The sequence below is a fragment of the Homo sapiens genome, chromosome 9 (assembly GCF_000001405.40).
Source record: "Homo sapiens chromosome 9, GRCh38.p14 Primary Assembly".
In the NCBI taxonomy this organism is placed as follows: Eukaryota; Metazoa; Chordata; class Mammalia; order Primates; family Hominidae; genus Homo; species Homo sapiens.
The window spans coordinates 127,945,783-127,959,887 of record NC_000009.12 but is presented as its reverse complement, the minus strand read 5'-3'; the positions used below and the strand labels follow the sequence as shown (position 1 = coordinate 127,959,887).

At 52.7% G+C, this 14,105-nt stretch overlaps 1 protein-coding gene across 2 annotated transcripts in view, besides 3 other annotated features; it reads left to right on the top strand.

Annotated features, from left to right (window-relative positions):
• EEIG1 (estrogen-induced osteoclastogenesis regulator 1) overlaps positions 1-14,105 on the top strand; it is a 40,408-nt gene that overhangs the window by 21,102 nt on the left and 5,201 nt on the right. Inside the window, exons 2-6 of one of the 2 annotated variants that reach the window (NM_001035254.3) lie at positions 5,963-6,083; positions 6,284-6,313; positions 9,349-9,465; positions 11,474-11,520; positions 11,663-11,817. In NM_001035254.3, the coding sequence (NP_001030331.1) occupies positions 5,963-6,083; positions 6,284-6,313; positions 9,349-9,465; positions 11,474-11,520; positions 11,663-11,817 (470 nt within the window). Of the gene's footprint in view, positions 1-5,962; positions 6,084-6,283; positions 6,314-9,198; positions 9,466-11,473; positions 11,521-11,662; positions 11,818-14,105 lie in introns of those variants that run through there. The other variant, NM_203305.3, reaches the window with a different exon arrangement.
• Positions 3,403-4,369: an enhancer, noted in NCBI's record as "H3K27ac-H3K4me1 hESC enhancer chr9:130717798-130718764 (GRCh37/hg19 assembly coordinates)". NCBI's record gives its function as "activates a minimal SCP1, AML or CMV promoter by ChIP-STARR-seq in naive H9 embryonic stem cells {active_cell/tissue: H9 hESC(naive)}" and the evidence as "EXISTENCE:reporter gene assay evidence [ECO:0000049][PMID:30033119]".
• Positions 12,844-13,344: an enhancer, noted in NCBI's record as "H3K4me1 hESC enhancer chr9:130708823-130709323 (GRCh37/hg19 assembly coordinates)". NCBI's record gives its function as "activates a minimal SCP1, AML or CMV promoter by ChIP-STARR-seq in primed H9 embryonic stem cells {active_cell/tissue: H9 hESC(primed)}" and the evidence as "EXISTENCE:reporter gene assay evidence [ECO:0000049][PMID:30033119]".
• Positions 13,345-13,845: an enhancer, noted in NCBI's record as "H3K4me1 hESC enhancer chr9:130708322-130708822 (GRCh37/hg19 assembly coordinates)". NCBI's record gives its function as "activates a minimal SCP1, AML or CMV promoter by ChIP-STARR-seq in primed H9 embryonic stem cells {active_cell/tissue: H9 hESC(primed)}" and the evidence as "EXISTENCE:reporter gene assay evidence [ECO:0000049][PMID:30033119]".

The following is a 14,105-nucleotide window of genomic DNA, read 5'->3' as shown; positions in this document are numbered from 1 at the left end:
TTAGCAGTTACTCCTTTTCCCCTCAAGTCCCCTGTATTAGTCTGTTCTCACACTGCCATAAAGAAATACCGAAGACTGGGTAATTTACAAAGGAAAGAAGTTTAATTGACTCACAGTCCCACATGGGTGCCGAGGCCTCAGGAAACTTAAAATCATGGCAGAAGGCGAAGGGGAAGCGAGGACCTTCTTCACATGGCAGCAGGAGACAGAAGCAGCAGCAAAGGGGAAAGAGCCCCTTATAAAACCATCAGATCTCATGAGAACTCACTCACTCATGTTAACAGCATCGGGGAAACCACCCCCATGATCCAATCACCTCCCCCCAGGCCCTTCCCTTGACATGTGGGGATCACAATTTGAGATGAGATTTGGGTGAGGACACAGAGCCAGACCATATCATCCTCCATCCCTGGCAGCCACCAATCTAGTTCCTGTCACTATGGATTTGCCTATTCTGGACATTTCATATAAATGAGATAATCAACTCTATAGTTCTTTCTGGCTGGCTGCTTTGATTTAGCTTCATGTTTTCAAGGTTATTCCCCAGTTAGAAGTGTATCATTTCTCTTTATTGCTGAATGATACACCATTGTATGCATAGAACACATTTTATTTGTCCATTTACCAGTTGATGGACATTTGGGTTGCTTTCACTTTTTGGTTATGAATAATTCTGTGATGTACATTTGTGTACAAGTTTTTGTGTGGACACATTTCATTTCTCTGGGATATATACCTAGGGGTGAAATTGCTGGGTCATATCATAACTCTGTGTTTCACCTTTTGGGGAATTGCCATACTGTTTTCCAAAGGGGCTGCACCATTTTACATTCCTACCAGCAGTGTATGAGGGTTCCACTTTCTCCACATCTTCGCCTTTGATTCTAGCCATCCTAGTGGGTGTGAAGTAGTATCTCATTTTAGTTTTGATTTTCATTTCCCTAATAGCTAATGATGTTGAGCATCTTCCTGTGTGCTTGTTGACCACTTGTGTATGTTCTTTGGAGAAATGTCTATTTGGATCCTTTGCCCATTTTTAATTGGATTTTTGTCTTTTTATTGAGTTGTGGGTGCTCTTTATATATTCTGGATACCAGTCCCTCATATATCTGATTTGCAAGTATTTTTTCTTATTTTGTGGTTTGTCTTTTCACTTTTTTGATGATGTCCTTTGGAGTGCAAAAGGTTTTTTGTTTGTTTGTTTTGTTTTTTCTTTTTTTTTTAAGATAGGGTTTCACTGTGTCACCCAGGCTGGGGTGCAGTGGTGTAATCACAGCTCACTGTAACCTCAAACTCCTAGGCTCAGGTCATCCTCTTGCCTCAGCCTCCCAAGTAGCTGGGACTACAGGCATGCACCACCACTCCTGGCTAATTTTAAAATTTTCTGTAGAGATGGGGTCTTGTTGTGTTGCCCAGGTTGGTCTCAAACTTCTGGCCTCAAGTGATCCTCCCACCTTGGCCTCCGAAAGTGCTGGGATTACAGGTGTGAGCCACTGTGCCCCACTAAAAGTTTTTAATTTTGATGACATTCAATATATCTATATTTTTCTTTTATCACATGTACTTCTGGTATTATATCCAGGAAATAGTTGCCTAATCCAAGGTCATGAAGATTTACCCATATGCTTTTTTCCAACATTTTATAGTTTAGCTCTTACACTTAGATCTTTGATCCATTTTCAGTTAATTTTTGTATATAGCATGAGATAGCCCTGTGCACCACCCCCCTCACACACGCACTTCATTCTCCTGCATGTTGATATCCAGTGTCCCAGAAACATTTGTTGAAAAGACTATTCTTTTTCCCACTGAATTATTTTGGCACTGTTGTCAAAAATCAATTGACCATAAAAGTGAAGGTTGGTTTCTTTTTTCTGAAACAGTCTCCCTCTGTCGCCCAGGCTGGAGTTGCAGTAGTGCCGTCTTGGCTCACTGCAACCTCCGCCTCCTGGGTTCAAGTGAGTCTTGTGCCTCAGCCTCCCAAGTAGCTGGGATCACAGGCACATGCCATCATGCCTAGCTAATTTTTGTATTTTTAGTAGAGATGGGGTTTTGCCATGTTGGCCAGGCTGGTCTCTAAGGTTTATTTCTAAACCTTTGTAAACTGGATAATCTCAGTTGTATTCCATTTGTGTCTGTCCTAATGCTAGGACCACCTTTTCTTGATTATTATAACTTTGTAGATATTTTGAAATCAAAAGCGTGAATTTTTAAATGATGTTTTACTTTTTAAAGATTATGTTGACTATTCTGGTCCCTTGGATTTCCATGTAAAGTTTAGGATCAGCTTGTCAAAGTTCTGCCAAGAAGCCAGCGTGGGGCTTTGATAGGGATTGTGATGAATTTTAGAACTATTTGGGAGTATCATCTTAACAACATGTCTTCCGATCCATGAACATGGGATGTCTTTCCATTTATTTAGATATTTAATGTCTTTCAGCAATGTTTTGTAGTTTCCGGAGTATGTATTTTGTACTTTATTAAATTTATTCCTATGTATTTTTTTCTTTTTGATGCTATTGTACGTGGAATTGCTTTCTTCTTTTCACTGTGTTTGCCAATATATAGAAAGAATTGATTTTTGTATATTGATCTTGTATCCTGCAACTTTTCTGAACTCATGCATTTTTATTTTTTATTTTTGTTCTTTGTTTGTTTTGAGACAAGGTCTCACTCTGTTGCCCAGGCTGGAGTACAGTGGTTTGATCTTGGCTCACTGCAACTTCTGCCTCCTGGGTTGAAGAGATTCTCCCATCTAAACCTCCTGAGTAGCTGGAACTATAGCTACCTGACCTCAAGTGATCCATGCCCGCCTCGGCCTCCCAAAGTGCTAGGATTACATACATGAGCCACCACACCTGTAATCATGTATGAGGCCAGGCATTGTGGCCCATGCCTGTAATCCAGCACTTTGGGATGCCATGGCAGATGGATCACTTGAGGCCAGGAGTTCGAGACCAGCCTGGCCAAAATGGCAAAACCTCATCTTTACTAAAAACACAAAAATTAGCCAGGTGTTGTGGTACATGCCTGTAATCCCAGCTACTTAGGAGTCTGAGGCACGAGAATCACTTGAACCCAGCAGGTGGAGGTTGCAGTGAGCCGAGATCGTGCCACTGCACTCCAGCCTGGGCCATAGAGTGAGACTCTGTCTCAAATAATAATAATAATAATAATGGCCGGGTGTGGTGGCTCACGCCTGTAATCCCAGCACTTTGGGAGGCCAAGGGGGGCAGATCACCTGAGGTCAGGAGTTCAAGACCAGCCCGGCCAACACAGTGAAACCCCGTCTCTACCAAAAATAGAAAAATTAGTCGAGCTTGGTGGTGGGCACCTGTAATCCCAGCTACTCAGGAGGCTGAGGCAGGAGAATTGCTTGAACCCGGGAGGCAGAGGTTGCAGTGAGCTGAGTTTATGCCCTTGCACTCCAGCCTGGGCAACGAGAGCGAAACTCCATCTCAAAAAAATAAATAAATAAAACAAAATAGTTTTTTAGTGGATTCCTTAAGTGTTTTCTGTATAAAAGATCAAGTCATCTGTTAATATAGTTTTAGTTCTTCCTTTCCACTACTAGGTATTTTTCTTATTTATTTGGTCTTCTTCTTTCTCCTCCCACCAGAATGTAAGCTGGTTACTGCTGTGGTTCGAGTGCCTAGAACAGGGCCTGGCACACACTGGTGCTCAGTTGTTTGATGATGAATGAATGAATAAGTGGAGCCAGCATGACTAGGCTCAAGTGATGCCCCCAGCCTAGGGCCCCCACTCCTGTGGCACCTGCCTATAGGGATTAGATCTGTCCCTTCCTCCCGTCTTCAGCCCTGACCTTTCTGCTTGTCCCCAGTCTTGGTTGCAGAGGGTTGTTGGAGCTCACCCTCCTAACAAGCTAGGTGCATTCTGGTGACATCACAGAGCCTTCACCGGGCCAGGCACTTTGCAGGATTCATTTCACTCAGTGCTCCCACAACAGCAGCCACGACAGGGGCGGTGTGCCCCAGTGAGTGTGCAGGGTGTGGCCCAGGTCTGCCTGCCCTCTTGACCCTTGTCACCGCCTTGGCAGGAGCACAGGGTAAGCCTTGGTCACATCCTCAAAGCCTTGTGGAGCCTGGAGGGGGCTCCTCATAGAAAGTGAGGCTTAGGGGCTTTCATTGGCTAAGGAAACGGGACTCCCTCATTCATGCTGTTTCCTCTCTTTGGAACTGTCTCCTCCACCTGGCTACTCCCCAGGCTCATTCTATCCTGAGCTTGAATGTCACCTTCCCTGATTCATCTGTTCCCCCGCCCTCTCCTGGTGACAATGAGTCATCACTGGGTAAATACAGTCTGCAGTGGCTCATCCCAGCACCTGCTTGGCACTCAGAGACCTGGGCGGTGCCTTGGGGCAGAGCAGGGTACTACAGGCCCCACAACACCACAGGTTCTCCTCGCCAGGCTTTCCCGGGCTCCTGAGCCAAAGTGGCGACTGAGAGCCCTGACTCTGAAGTCATACAGTCCTGGGTTTAAATCCTGCTTTGCCAATCACTGGGGATATGAGCTCGAGTGGCGGGTAGGGTGGCCTTCTTTTGGAGCTTCAGTGCCCTCAGCAGTAGAAGGGGTGGCATAGAGCCCACCTTGCAAGACTGCCATGCAAAGCAAACCTGGCGATGCTCAGGGGAGGCTTGGCTGCGGCCCTCTCCGACCCTCTGCCCTGAGGCCTCGATCTGGCAGTTAACCCACTCTCCTCGGGTCACTTCCTTAGCTGTCCCCTTGGCGGTTGTGCTTAGGTGGGATGAGCTGGAGATAACGTCTCTCACACTGTCTCCTCCCTTCCCTGGCCACCCCTTCCTGAGCACGGGCTCTGCCAGGCAGGCTGTATGGAGATGGGGAGCTGCTCGGGGATGCAGAGCTCGGTTCTGCCACGTGCCGCTGCCACCCCCAGATCCTGCCAAGGCCCCCGCAGCAGTTGGGAGGGGCTTGGATGAGCTGCTGCCACTGGCTCCCACTCACTCCCAGGGCACAAAGCATCTCTCCAGTAGAGGGGTGCTGAATTTTTCAGCATGGTCATGCTCTCCAACTCAGGAGGAACCGGGGGGCTAGAAGACCAGAGCCCTCTGCTTAGTGTTGGTGAAGCTGAAGCCCCCAGGTCGCTGTCTCCGCACCCAGAGTCCAACTGCTTGGGTTAATCCCCATTCTGCTCTTACCTGTGGTGGGCCTCAGGTGAGGGTCTTAGCCTCCGGGCCCCCAGTTTCTTTGACTGGGGATTGAGCTGATGATGTGGCTGCTCCATACAGAGGTTGGAAAGGTTTGGCATGACCACCTTTCTCTGGCACTTGGAGCAGGCTCCAGGGCCTGCTGGCTCTTGTGAAGTTCTTTGAACAGTGCCTGGCACATGGGAATCACTGTGTGGGTATCAGCTGTTGTTACTATTGTCATTGTTGTTATTAGTGATGAAGAAGGCAGCTCTGGAGTCAGGAGGAACCAGGCTTCAGGCCCAGCTCAGCTATCTACTGGCTGGGAGGTGTGGGGCAGCTTGCCTAGCCTCGGTCTCTTCATCTTTGAAATGGGCTGAGTAGTCCAGCCTAAGACTATTGTGAGGGTCATGAGGCGGTTGGCAGAGCCTGGCTTTGGAGGAGGTAATGGCAGTGCAGGGAACTGCCCAAGGTCTCAGAGCAAGGTGGCGGGAGCAGCACTGGGTACAGAGGGAGGCTCTGCAGGTTGCCAGGCTTCCTGGGGAGGGACAGCTGCCCTAGCTCACCTCACCCCTGCCTTGTGTTTGTCTCATTTTTATTACGTTTTCACTGTTGTTTTTACAACAACTACACGAGTACATTCTTGTGGTGAAAACACAGCTATTTTGTGACACAGAGTGAAAGTGGAGCTTCCCACCGCCTCAGTCCCAATGGGGAGTGCCATGTCCCTGGTACCACATGGAGTCCCCTGGCGCGGATGTGTGTGCCTGTGCTCACCTGTCGCCTCTGGCCCACAGGGAGGAGGTACAGGAGAACTGTGTGCGGTGGCGAAAGAGGTTCACCTTCGTGTGTAAGATGAGTGCTAACCCGGCCACCGGCCTGCTGGACCCCTGTGTCTTCCGTGTGTCTGTGCGCAAGGTGAGGCCAAGGGCGCATGTGGGGCTGCTGGGCTGGGCTATAGGCCCCTCCCCTCATGAGTCCGCACCCCCAGCTGAAAATGGGGTGAGTTGCTCTGCCCGTTGCCCTCCTCCCCTCAGATCTGGGGGGATTGTGGGAGATGCATGAGGTCCCTGGGATTCTGCAGTCAACTTGCTGCTTGTGTCTCCCTCCCTGTGCAGGAGCTGAAAGGCGGGAAGGCTTATTCCAAGGTAAGAGGGGCTGTGTGAAGGGGCAGTGGGATGGAATGGGGGGTGGCATGGGACAGGCACAAGGGAAGCCTCCAGCCCCTTTTCTGCCACAAGCAAGAGGCACTCAGCCCTACCTGAGATGTGTTATTTTTTAGAAATATCTTTATTGATGGTCTTTGCACTCAATATAAAGGCAGCATATGGTTGTTGCAATATAAATGGTACAGAAGTCCACAGAGCAAAAGGGCCAGTTTCTGTCCCCTTTCCTCTCTCCAGGCCTCTTTCTGGGACCCCATTATTGGATAGATTAAGACCTTTCCAGACCTTGTAAGAAGAAAAAAAGGAAATATACCATACAAAGAGAGCAGCAAATAAAATGTATGCGTGTGGTTTAAAGAAATGCAAAATGAGCACCCTCTGTGTGTACTGAAGTGCATGCAAACAATATGATTTTTTTTTTCCTCTGGAGACAGAGTCTTGCTCTGTTGCCCAGGCTGGAGTGCAATGGCACAATCTTCGCTCACTGCAACCTTCTCCTCCTAGGTTCAAACAATTCTCCTCCCTCAGCCTCCCGAGTACGGCTGGGCATGGTGGCTCACGCCTATAATCCTGGCACTTTGGGAGACTGAGGCAAGCGAATTGCCTGAGCTCAGGAGTTCAAGACCAGCTTTGGCAATACGACAAAACCCCGTCTCTACTACAGATACAAAAAAAATTAACCAGGTGTGGTGGTGCATGCCTGTAATCCCAGCTACTCGGGAGGCTGGGGCACAAGAATTGCTTGCACCCGGGAGGGTGGAGGTTACAGAGAGCCGAGATTGCGCCACTGCACTCCAGCCTGGGTGACAGAGCGAGACTCTGCCTCCAGATAAATAAATAAATAAACAGATTTGCAGCTTGGTTTTTTACTTAATCCATTCTGGGCATCTTTTTGTGTTATCACAAATTTCCATGTGCTTTCTAATGGCAGCAGTGTCCCGTGGCATGGCTGGCGATGGTTGACTCAGCCAGCCCTGCTGCTGGACATGTGCATTGTTACCAGGGTTTCACTGTACCCACAGACAGTTCAGCCCTACATAGTATTAAGAGCTTTTCTACTGGGCAAAGAGGGAGAAGACAGCTCTGGCTTTGAATAAGCCTGCTCTGCCTTCCATCCCTCTTCTCCATGGTGGACTCTTGGCCTCCCCTCCTCAGCTCCTGAGGCTTAGCCCAGTGGCAGGAGGGTGGGCTTCATCAGCCGGGAGGGGAAATGCCTTCGCCTCACCTCTCACCCGAGGGAGGCGCTATACAGGGCGTGGCCCTTCCCACTGACCAGAGCTCAGGAACTCAGCCGGCTGGGCAGTGCACTCTGCCCTGGCCCGGGGCGCTGACGTCCCTCTCCAGAAGCAGAGGACAGTATGGCTAGAACCAGGCTGTGGAGGGTGCTGTCACAGTGGAAATTTCTCTGATTCACACGGGTGAGGACAGCTGTGCAGCCAGGAAAGGAATTACCAGCAAACACCTGGGAGCATCTCACCTCCACTGGCAAACATTTACCAGGCACCCAGCACATGGCAGGCACTGCCAGGCCCCTTCCCTTCTGTTCTGTAATTGAACTCCCACTGCAGGCTTTACTCCCATTATACAGAGGAGGAAACTGAGGCCCTGAGAAGTGGCTGGACGTGGTGCTGATCAGGCCTAGTTTCAGTCCTGTCTCTGTTGGGTTAGCTGTTTGGCCCTGGGCAAGCTTCTTCCCCTCCCTGAACTTAGTTTTCTTTTCTTTTCTTTTTTTTTTTTTTTTTGAGATGGAGTCTCGCTGTCGCCCAGGCTGGAGTGCAGTGGCGCGATCTCGGCTCACTACAAGCTCCGCCTCCCGGGTTCACGCCATTCTCCTGCCTCAGCCTCCTGAGTAGCTGGGACTACAGGTGCCCGCCACCTCGCCCGGCTAATTTTTTTTGTATTTTTAGTAGAGACGGGGTTTCACCGTGTTCGCCAGGATGGTCTCGATCTCCTGACCTCGTGATCCGCCTGCCTTGGCCTCCCAAAGTGCTGGGATTACAGGCGTGCCACCGCGCCCGGCCTCTGTGAACTTAGTTTTCTCATCTATAAAATGGGGATCACTCTGAGTCCATGGCGGGGCTAGGATCTGAATCCAATTCCCTGATTCTGGAGTGTGTGCCCTGAACACTGCAGTAGAGACTTGCAGGCAGCAGTTACTTGACACTCATCCCTGATTGGTTCGGTTGGGTTCAAACATTGGTTCAAACATTTCATTATCTATCTCTTCTGAGCCTGTTGTATCTGGAGCAGAGCTGGGCAGGAGGTGGTAAGCAGAGGCTCTGGGGCCTCCTAGACCCTTTGCAGAGGGAACCGGAGATGTCTTCCAAGTCCCCAAGTCTGGCACCACCTCGTCTCAATCTCACTTTCCCCTCCAGGTCTAGCAGACTTGGCCTCCATCCACAGGGCCTTCTTAGCGCATGCCCTCTTCGCACTTACTCCCACTTCCCTCCCCATCCCTCGATCCTCTGTCCAGAGGTCCCAAGGGCCTGTTCAGACCCTGAACTCTGCCCAGCAGCCCCTCACTCTGTCCTCTACCAGGGCGCCTTCCCTGGGGCTCCTGCTCATCCTGCAGTGCCCCTCCCCTCCCAACCCCTGTGGGGGTGTCCCATCACTTTCCCCAGCACCCACTTCCCACAGGCCTTCCCTCCTCCCCTGCCTGCTGACCCGGCAGCTCCCGACAGCACGGCCTTGTTTCCCAGGGAACAATGCATCTGTGTCACGGACAACAATGTCCTTTCATGTCAGGCGCACTGGCCCCGGTGCACGCCGGGACGTGGCACAAAGGGTGCTTTGTGCAGCTCAGGGATGTGAGTTCCTGGCTTTGCCATGTTGGTGCTGCCGACCCGGGGCCTCTGTCCTTGGGTCCCAGTTATGCAACAGTCAGTCGAGGCTGTGGGGCTGGCCCAGGGGCTTTATCTGTCTCCCTCTCCAACTTTTGCCAAGTTACCCTTCTGGGCTTCCGCCAGCCAGGAGCCCACACTCCCTCAGCCCTCCCACACGCTCCTCTCACCTCCTAGCTGGGCTTCGCTGACTTGAACCTGGCCGAGTTTGCGGGCTCGGGCTCCACGGTGCGCTGCTGCCTGCTCGAGGGATATGACACGAAGAACACTCGCCAGGACAACTCCATCCTTAAGGTACCAGGGATCCTGCCACCTCTGCCACCCTGACCACGGGATGGGGACAAACCAGGCTGCTCATCAGAATCCTCTGGAGGAGGGTTGTTAAAAATACAGGCCTTACCTGAATAGGTAGACATCGGGAAGGGGCGAGCCCTGGAATCAGGAAACCACTATCAGAGGGAGGCCTGGCTCCGCTGTTGGCCTCAGTTTCCCCATCAAGTTCAGAGAGGGGGCCCTGACAGTCTCCAGGGTTTGGCAAGCACCTGCAGTGGGTTCACGTCATGCTGATTGCATGCCCTCTCTTCTCTTGTGGTCCCCTGACAGCAGCCCCACGAGCTGTGGTATCTTTGATTAGTCCCAGCTTCAAATGGGAGGGAGTTAAGGCACAGACGTTAAGTCATTTGCCTGAAGTCACAGACAGAGCTGGCACCTGACCACCAGCCAGTTGACTTCTTGGCCCAGCTCCTAACTCTTCCCCAAGTGACACGTGGTAGCCTGGCCCCCAGTGGATTATCAGTGAAAATGATGGCTGCTGAGGGCCCCGGGGGCAGGTTTCCAGTGGACAGGGCAGCCCCACCCCCAGGCAGCTGCCTCGTTGGCCTTTTGGGAACAGAAATGTCTGGGTGTCCGTCACCAGCACACCTCTCTTCCTCTGTTTCCACACCTTTCACCTGGCCGGGAAAACAGGCTGTCCTAACAGCGCCTCTGCAAGGGGACCCAGGGAGAGCCTATGGTATCTGGAGCAGAGCTGGGCAGGAGGTGGTGAGCAGGGGCTCTGGGGCCTCCTAGACCCTTTGCAGAGGGAACCGGAGATGCCAGAAAGGGTCCAGGCTGATTGTCTTGGGAGCTGGAGCCTTTCAGCCTCAGTCAGGCTGAAAAGCACAGGCACAGTAGCCCTGTGCACCTCAGGCCAGATCAAGGGAGCCTGGGGGCCAGGTAGCCTTGGGTTCAAGGGAAGCTCCCCCACATCCTGTCTGCAAGGTCTTGGGAGTCACTTCCCCTCTCTGAGTCTTGGTTCCCTCATCAACAGCCTTGGGCTAGCTAGGATGCTTTCATGGCCGAGTGAATAAGCCATAGAAAGCCTCAACCTAGTGGTCACCCTTTCTTTTTTTTTTTTTTTTTTTTTGAGACAGAGTCTCGCTGTCACCCAGGCTGGAGTGCAGTGGCACAATCTCAGCTCACTGCAAGCTCCACCTCCCAGGTTCATGCCATTCTCTTGCCTCAGCCTCCCGAGTAGCTGGGACTACAGGTGCCCGCCACCACGCCCGGCTAATTTTTGTATTTTTAGTAGAGATGGGGTTTCACCGTGTTAGCCAGGATGGTCTCGAGCCCCTGACCTCGTGATCTGCCCGCCTTGGCCTCCCAAAGTGCTGGGATTACAGGCGTGAGCCACGGCACCCGGCCGAAAGCCTCAACGGAGTGGTCACCCTTTCATAAGTGGTGACGTCAGGATCTGTGCTCCTCTTTTCCACTTGCTCATCTCTGCCTGTCACTCCATCTCAGCCTAGATTTTAGGGCCCAAATCTTGCCACATTTGGGCTGTTGTTAGTTTGCAATGGCTTCATGCTTTTTCATCAGACTTTCACCAAACCCTGCCCACCACCTGCTGTGCCAGGCCCCATGAGCCCTCTTCCCTCTCCTGCCTGCTGGGTTGAGCTCTGTGGTCCTTACACAGGGCCGGGGTGAGTGTGTGGCTTCACCATGGAGAAGCTCATTGTCTAGGCCTGTAGCTGATGGCAGTCCGCTCACTCTGCCAGGCGCAGGGCTGAGCCCAGGCCTCACCTTGCTATGCCCTCCCCTCTGGTCTGCCAGGCAGGCCTTGGTTCCATCTCTGTCCTCCACACAGGGAAACTGGGCTCAGAGAGGTTAGTGGCTTTGCCAGAGCCCCCAAGCCAGGAGGGGGCAGAGAGACAGGATTGGAATCCAAGCCCTTCTGAGGCCAGAGCCGAAAGGCTGCAGGGGGCCCTGCGCCTGGGCAGGCTGTGGGTGGTCAGGGCATAGCTGATTGCTCCCCTCGCCACAGGTCACCATTGGTATGTTCCTGCTCTCTGGAGATCCCTGCTTCAAGACGTGAGTGCTGGCACAGGCCTAGGGAGCGGATGGGAGCCCAGTCCCGGGCACTAGGGGTGGAGGAACAGGGACTCTGGGTGTCCTCTGTTTTCATCTGGTCCTGAAGCAGGGCACCCTAGTCACACCTGTCTGTCTTCCCAAGGCCACCATCGACTGCCAAGTCCATCTCCATCCCAGGCCAGGATTCCTCCCTGCAGCTGACGTGTAAGGGTGGTGGGACCAGCAGTGGGGGCAGCAGCACCAACTCCCTGACTGGGTCCCGGCCCCCCAAGGCTCGGCCCACTATTCTCAGCTCAGGTACAGTTCCTCATCTGTCCGCCCCTCCCCTGCTAGCGGCCCGAGGGGTTTACCTCCATGTCATGCCCAGGTCCCCAGGGAGACGCTGACTGAGGGGAGAGTGATGGTGGGAGGGTGTTTGCATGCTCCTGCTGGGCTGATGAGACCTGATCACCTTGTGCGTGCTGGCTGTGGTGCTGGGCCCTGAGATCACAGCTGTGCCTTGGACTGAGACTGATGTGGCCTCCCCATCCTCAAGGCCCTGCAGTCTAGCAGAAGAAACAGGCCTCAATCAAGCCATAGATAAATGCATGTCTACCTGCAAACAGGATAAAAGCTGGGGAAGACAGGCCCAGAAGGTGGGATCCATCTGGGGCCAGGGAAGGCTTCCCTGAGGATGTAGTATCTGAGCTGCATTCAGGGGGTGAGGCACAGTATACCTGGCAGAGGGACGTGCTGGGAGCTCTTGCTCTCCCACATACTCTATGACTTTGACTGGCCAGTTTGCGTCTCTCTGTCTCAGTGTTCTTTGGAAAATGGGATTGGTAATAGCAATTACATCCCAGGTCACTTTGGGGATTAACTGTCCACATGTGGGCACCTGCCCAGCACATGGTAAGCACTTAGTGGGCACTCTGTTTTTTGTTTATGTTTTTTTAGACAGAGTCTTGCTCTGTCGCTAGGCTGGAGTGCAGTGGCGCAATCTCACCTCACTGCAACCTCTGCCTCCCAGGTTCAAGCATTTCTCCTGCCTCAGCCTCCCGAGTAGCTGGGACTACAGGCGAGCGCCACCATGCCCAGATATACCTTTTTTTTTTTTTTTTTTTTGTATTTTTAGTAGAGACTGGATTTCACCATATCAGCCAGGATGGTTGCCAGGATGGTCTCAGTCTCCTGACCTCGTGATCTGTCTGCCTTGGCTTCCCAAAGTGCTGGGATTACAGGCGTGAGCCACCGCGCCCGGCTGGGCACTCTGTTTTTATTAAATTATCACTGGTACTAATGTTATGAAAAATGTGAACGAGCCCCAACCCCCAGAGGAGATGGTGTGGCAATTAGGAGGAGGGGGTGTTGCCAGGACAGGAGGCTCTGGCCTGCCCCCAAGTGTTTGCTGGGCCCCCTCAACCCTAAGCAGGGCCCCCAGAGGTATGAGCCTTGGACTGCCTCCAGGCTGATTAGTGAACAAGGTGTCACGTGACAACCCTGATTTGTCCCACAGAATCAGTTAGAGCACAGGCCTCATGTGGCCCAGCAGATGCTTGCCGAGTGATTCTGCCTCTGGGAACTGAGAGCAGTGAGAGACCCTCTGACCTCAAGGGCCCAGCTTCCCTCCACTCCCTTTTCCACTGCAGACCCAGCTAGCTGAGGCCCAGAACAGAAAGCTGGGGGCTTCCCAGCACAATTACTCTCTCCAGCCCCTGGATGGGGTTCCCCAGAAGAGAGATGTGTCTGGGGACTAGGCCACCCCAGCGCAGGTGGTGCCTTCGTGTGAAGTAGAAGAGGCCCCTCCCCCAGGCAGGGTGAGACTTGAGTGCCCACTTGCCTCTGGAGCTGGCCTCCCCCCATATGCAGAGAACCTGTTGGGGACTTGAAAAGCCACATAGTTATGGATGGGCACACAGGCCAGCCTGGGGTGTCACAGGCCAGCCTGGGGTGTGTTGGGCGGGAAGGCAGGTGGATACTCAGAGCCCTGGGTAGGTCCCACCTAGTCCCTTTTGCCTCCTGCTGGGGAGTGCCAGGAAAGTCTGTTTTGAAGTTGGGCTTATGGGTGACTTGGGACAGGACTGTGGGCCTGTCCCTTTGGGCCAGACCGCTCGCCCTCACCATGTCCCTTCCACTCCAACTCCGCTGACCCAGGCCCCTTCCAGCCTCGGGGCCTCTGCCGATGCTGTTCTCTGTGCCTGGAAAGCCCTTGCCCTCTTGAGGCCTTAGCTGGCTCCCTCCAGCAATGTGTCCTGGAGGTCTGCCATTAAGGCCGTCTCCTTGGAGAAGCCTCCCCTGTCCCCAGACTGGGCCAGACCCCCAGTAAGCACTGCTCCCTGCTGTGCACCTCTCACTGCGGTTGTGGGTAGTGGAGGCAGTTTTTGTTCAGCGTTCTTCTTCCTCGCTGACCTGTGGTGGGCACCCCACCCAAGTGTGCCCTCTGTGGAATGAAGGGACCTGGGTTCGGAGGGTGACCTATGGCTCAGGCTGGTTGCTGCTCCTCTGAACCTGTTTTTCAGTCTGTTAAATGGCGCCCTGCCATGGGAGGCTCTGTGAGGGCACGTTGTGAAGGGCGACAGTGAGCAGCACTGGGTGACCCCTGTCAC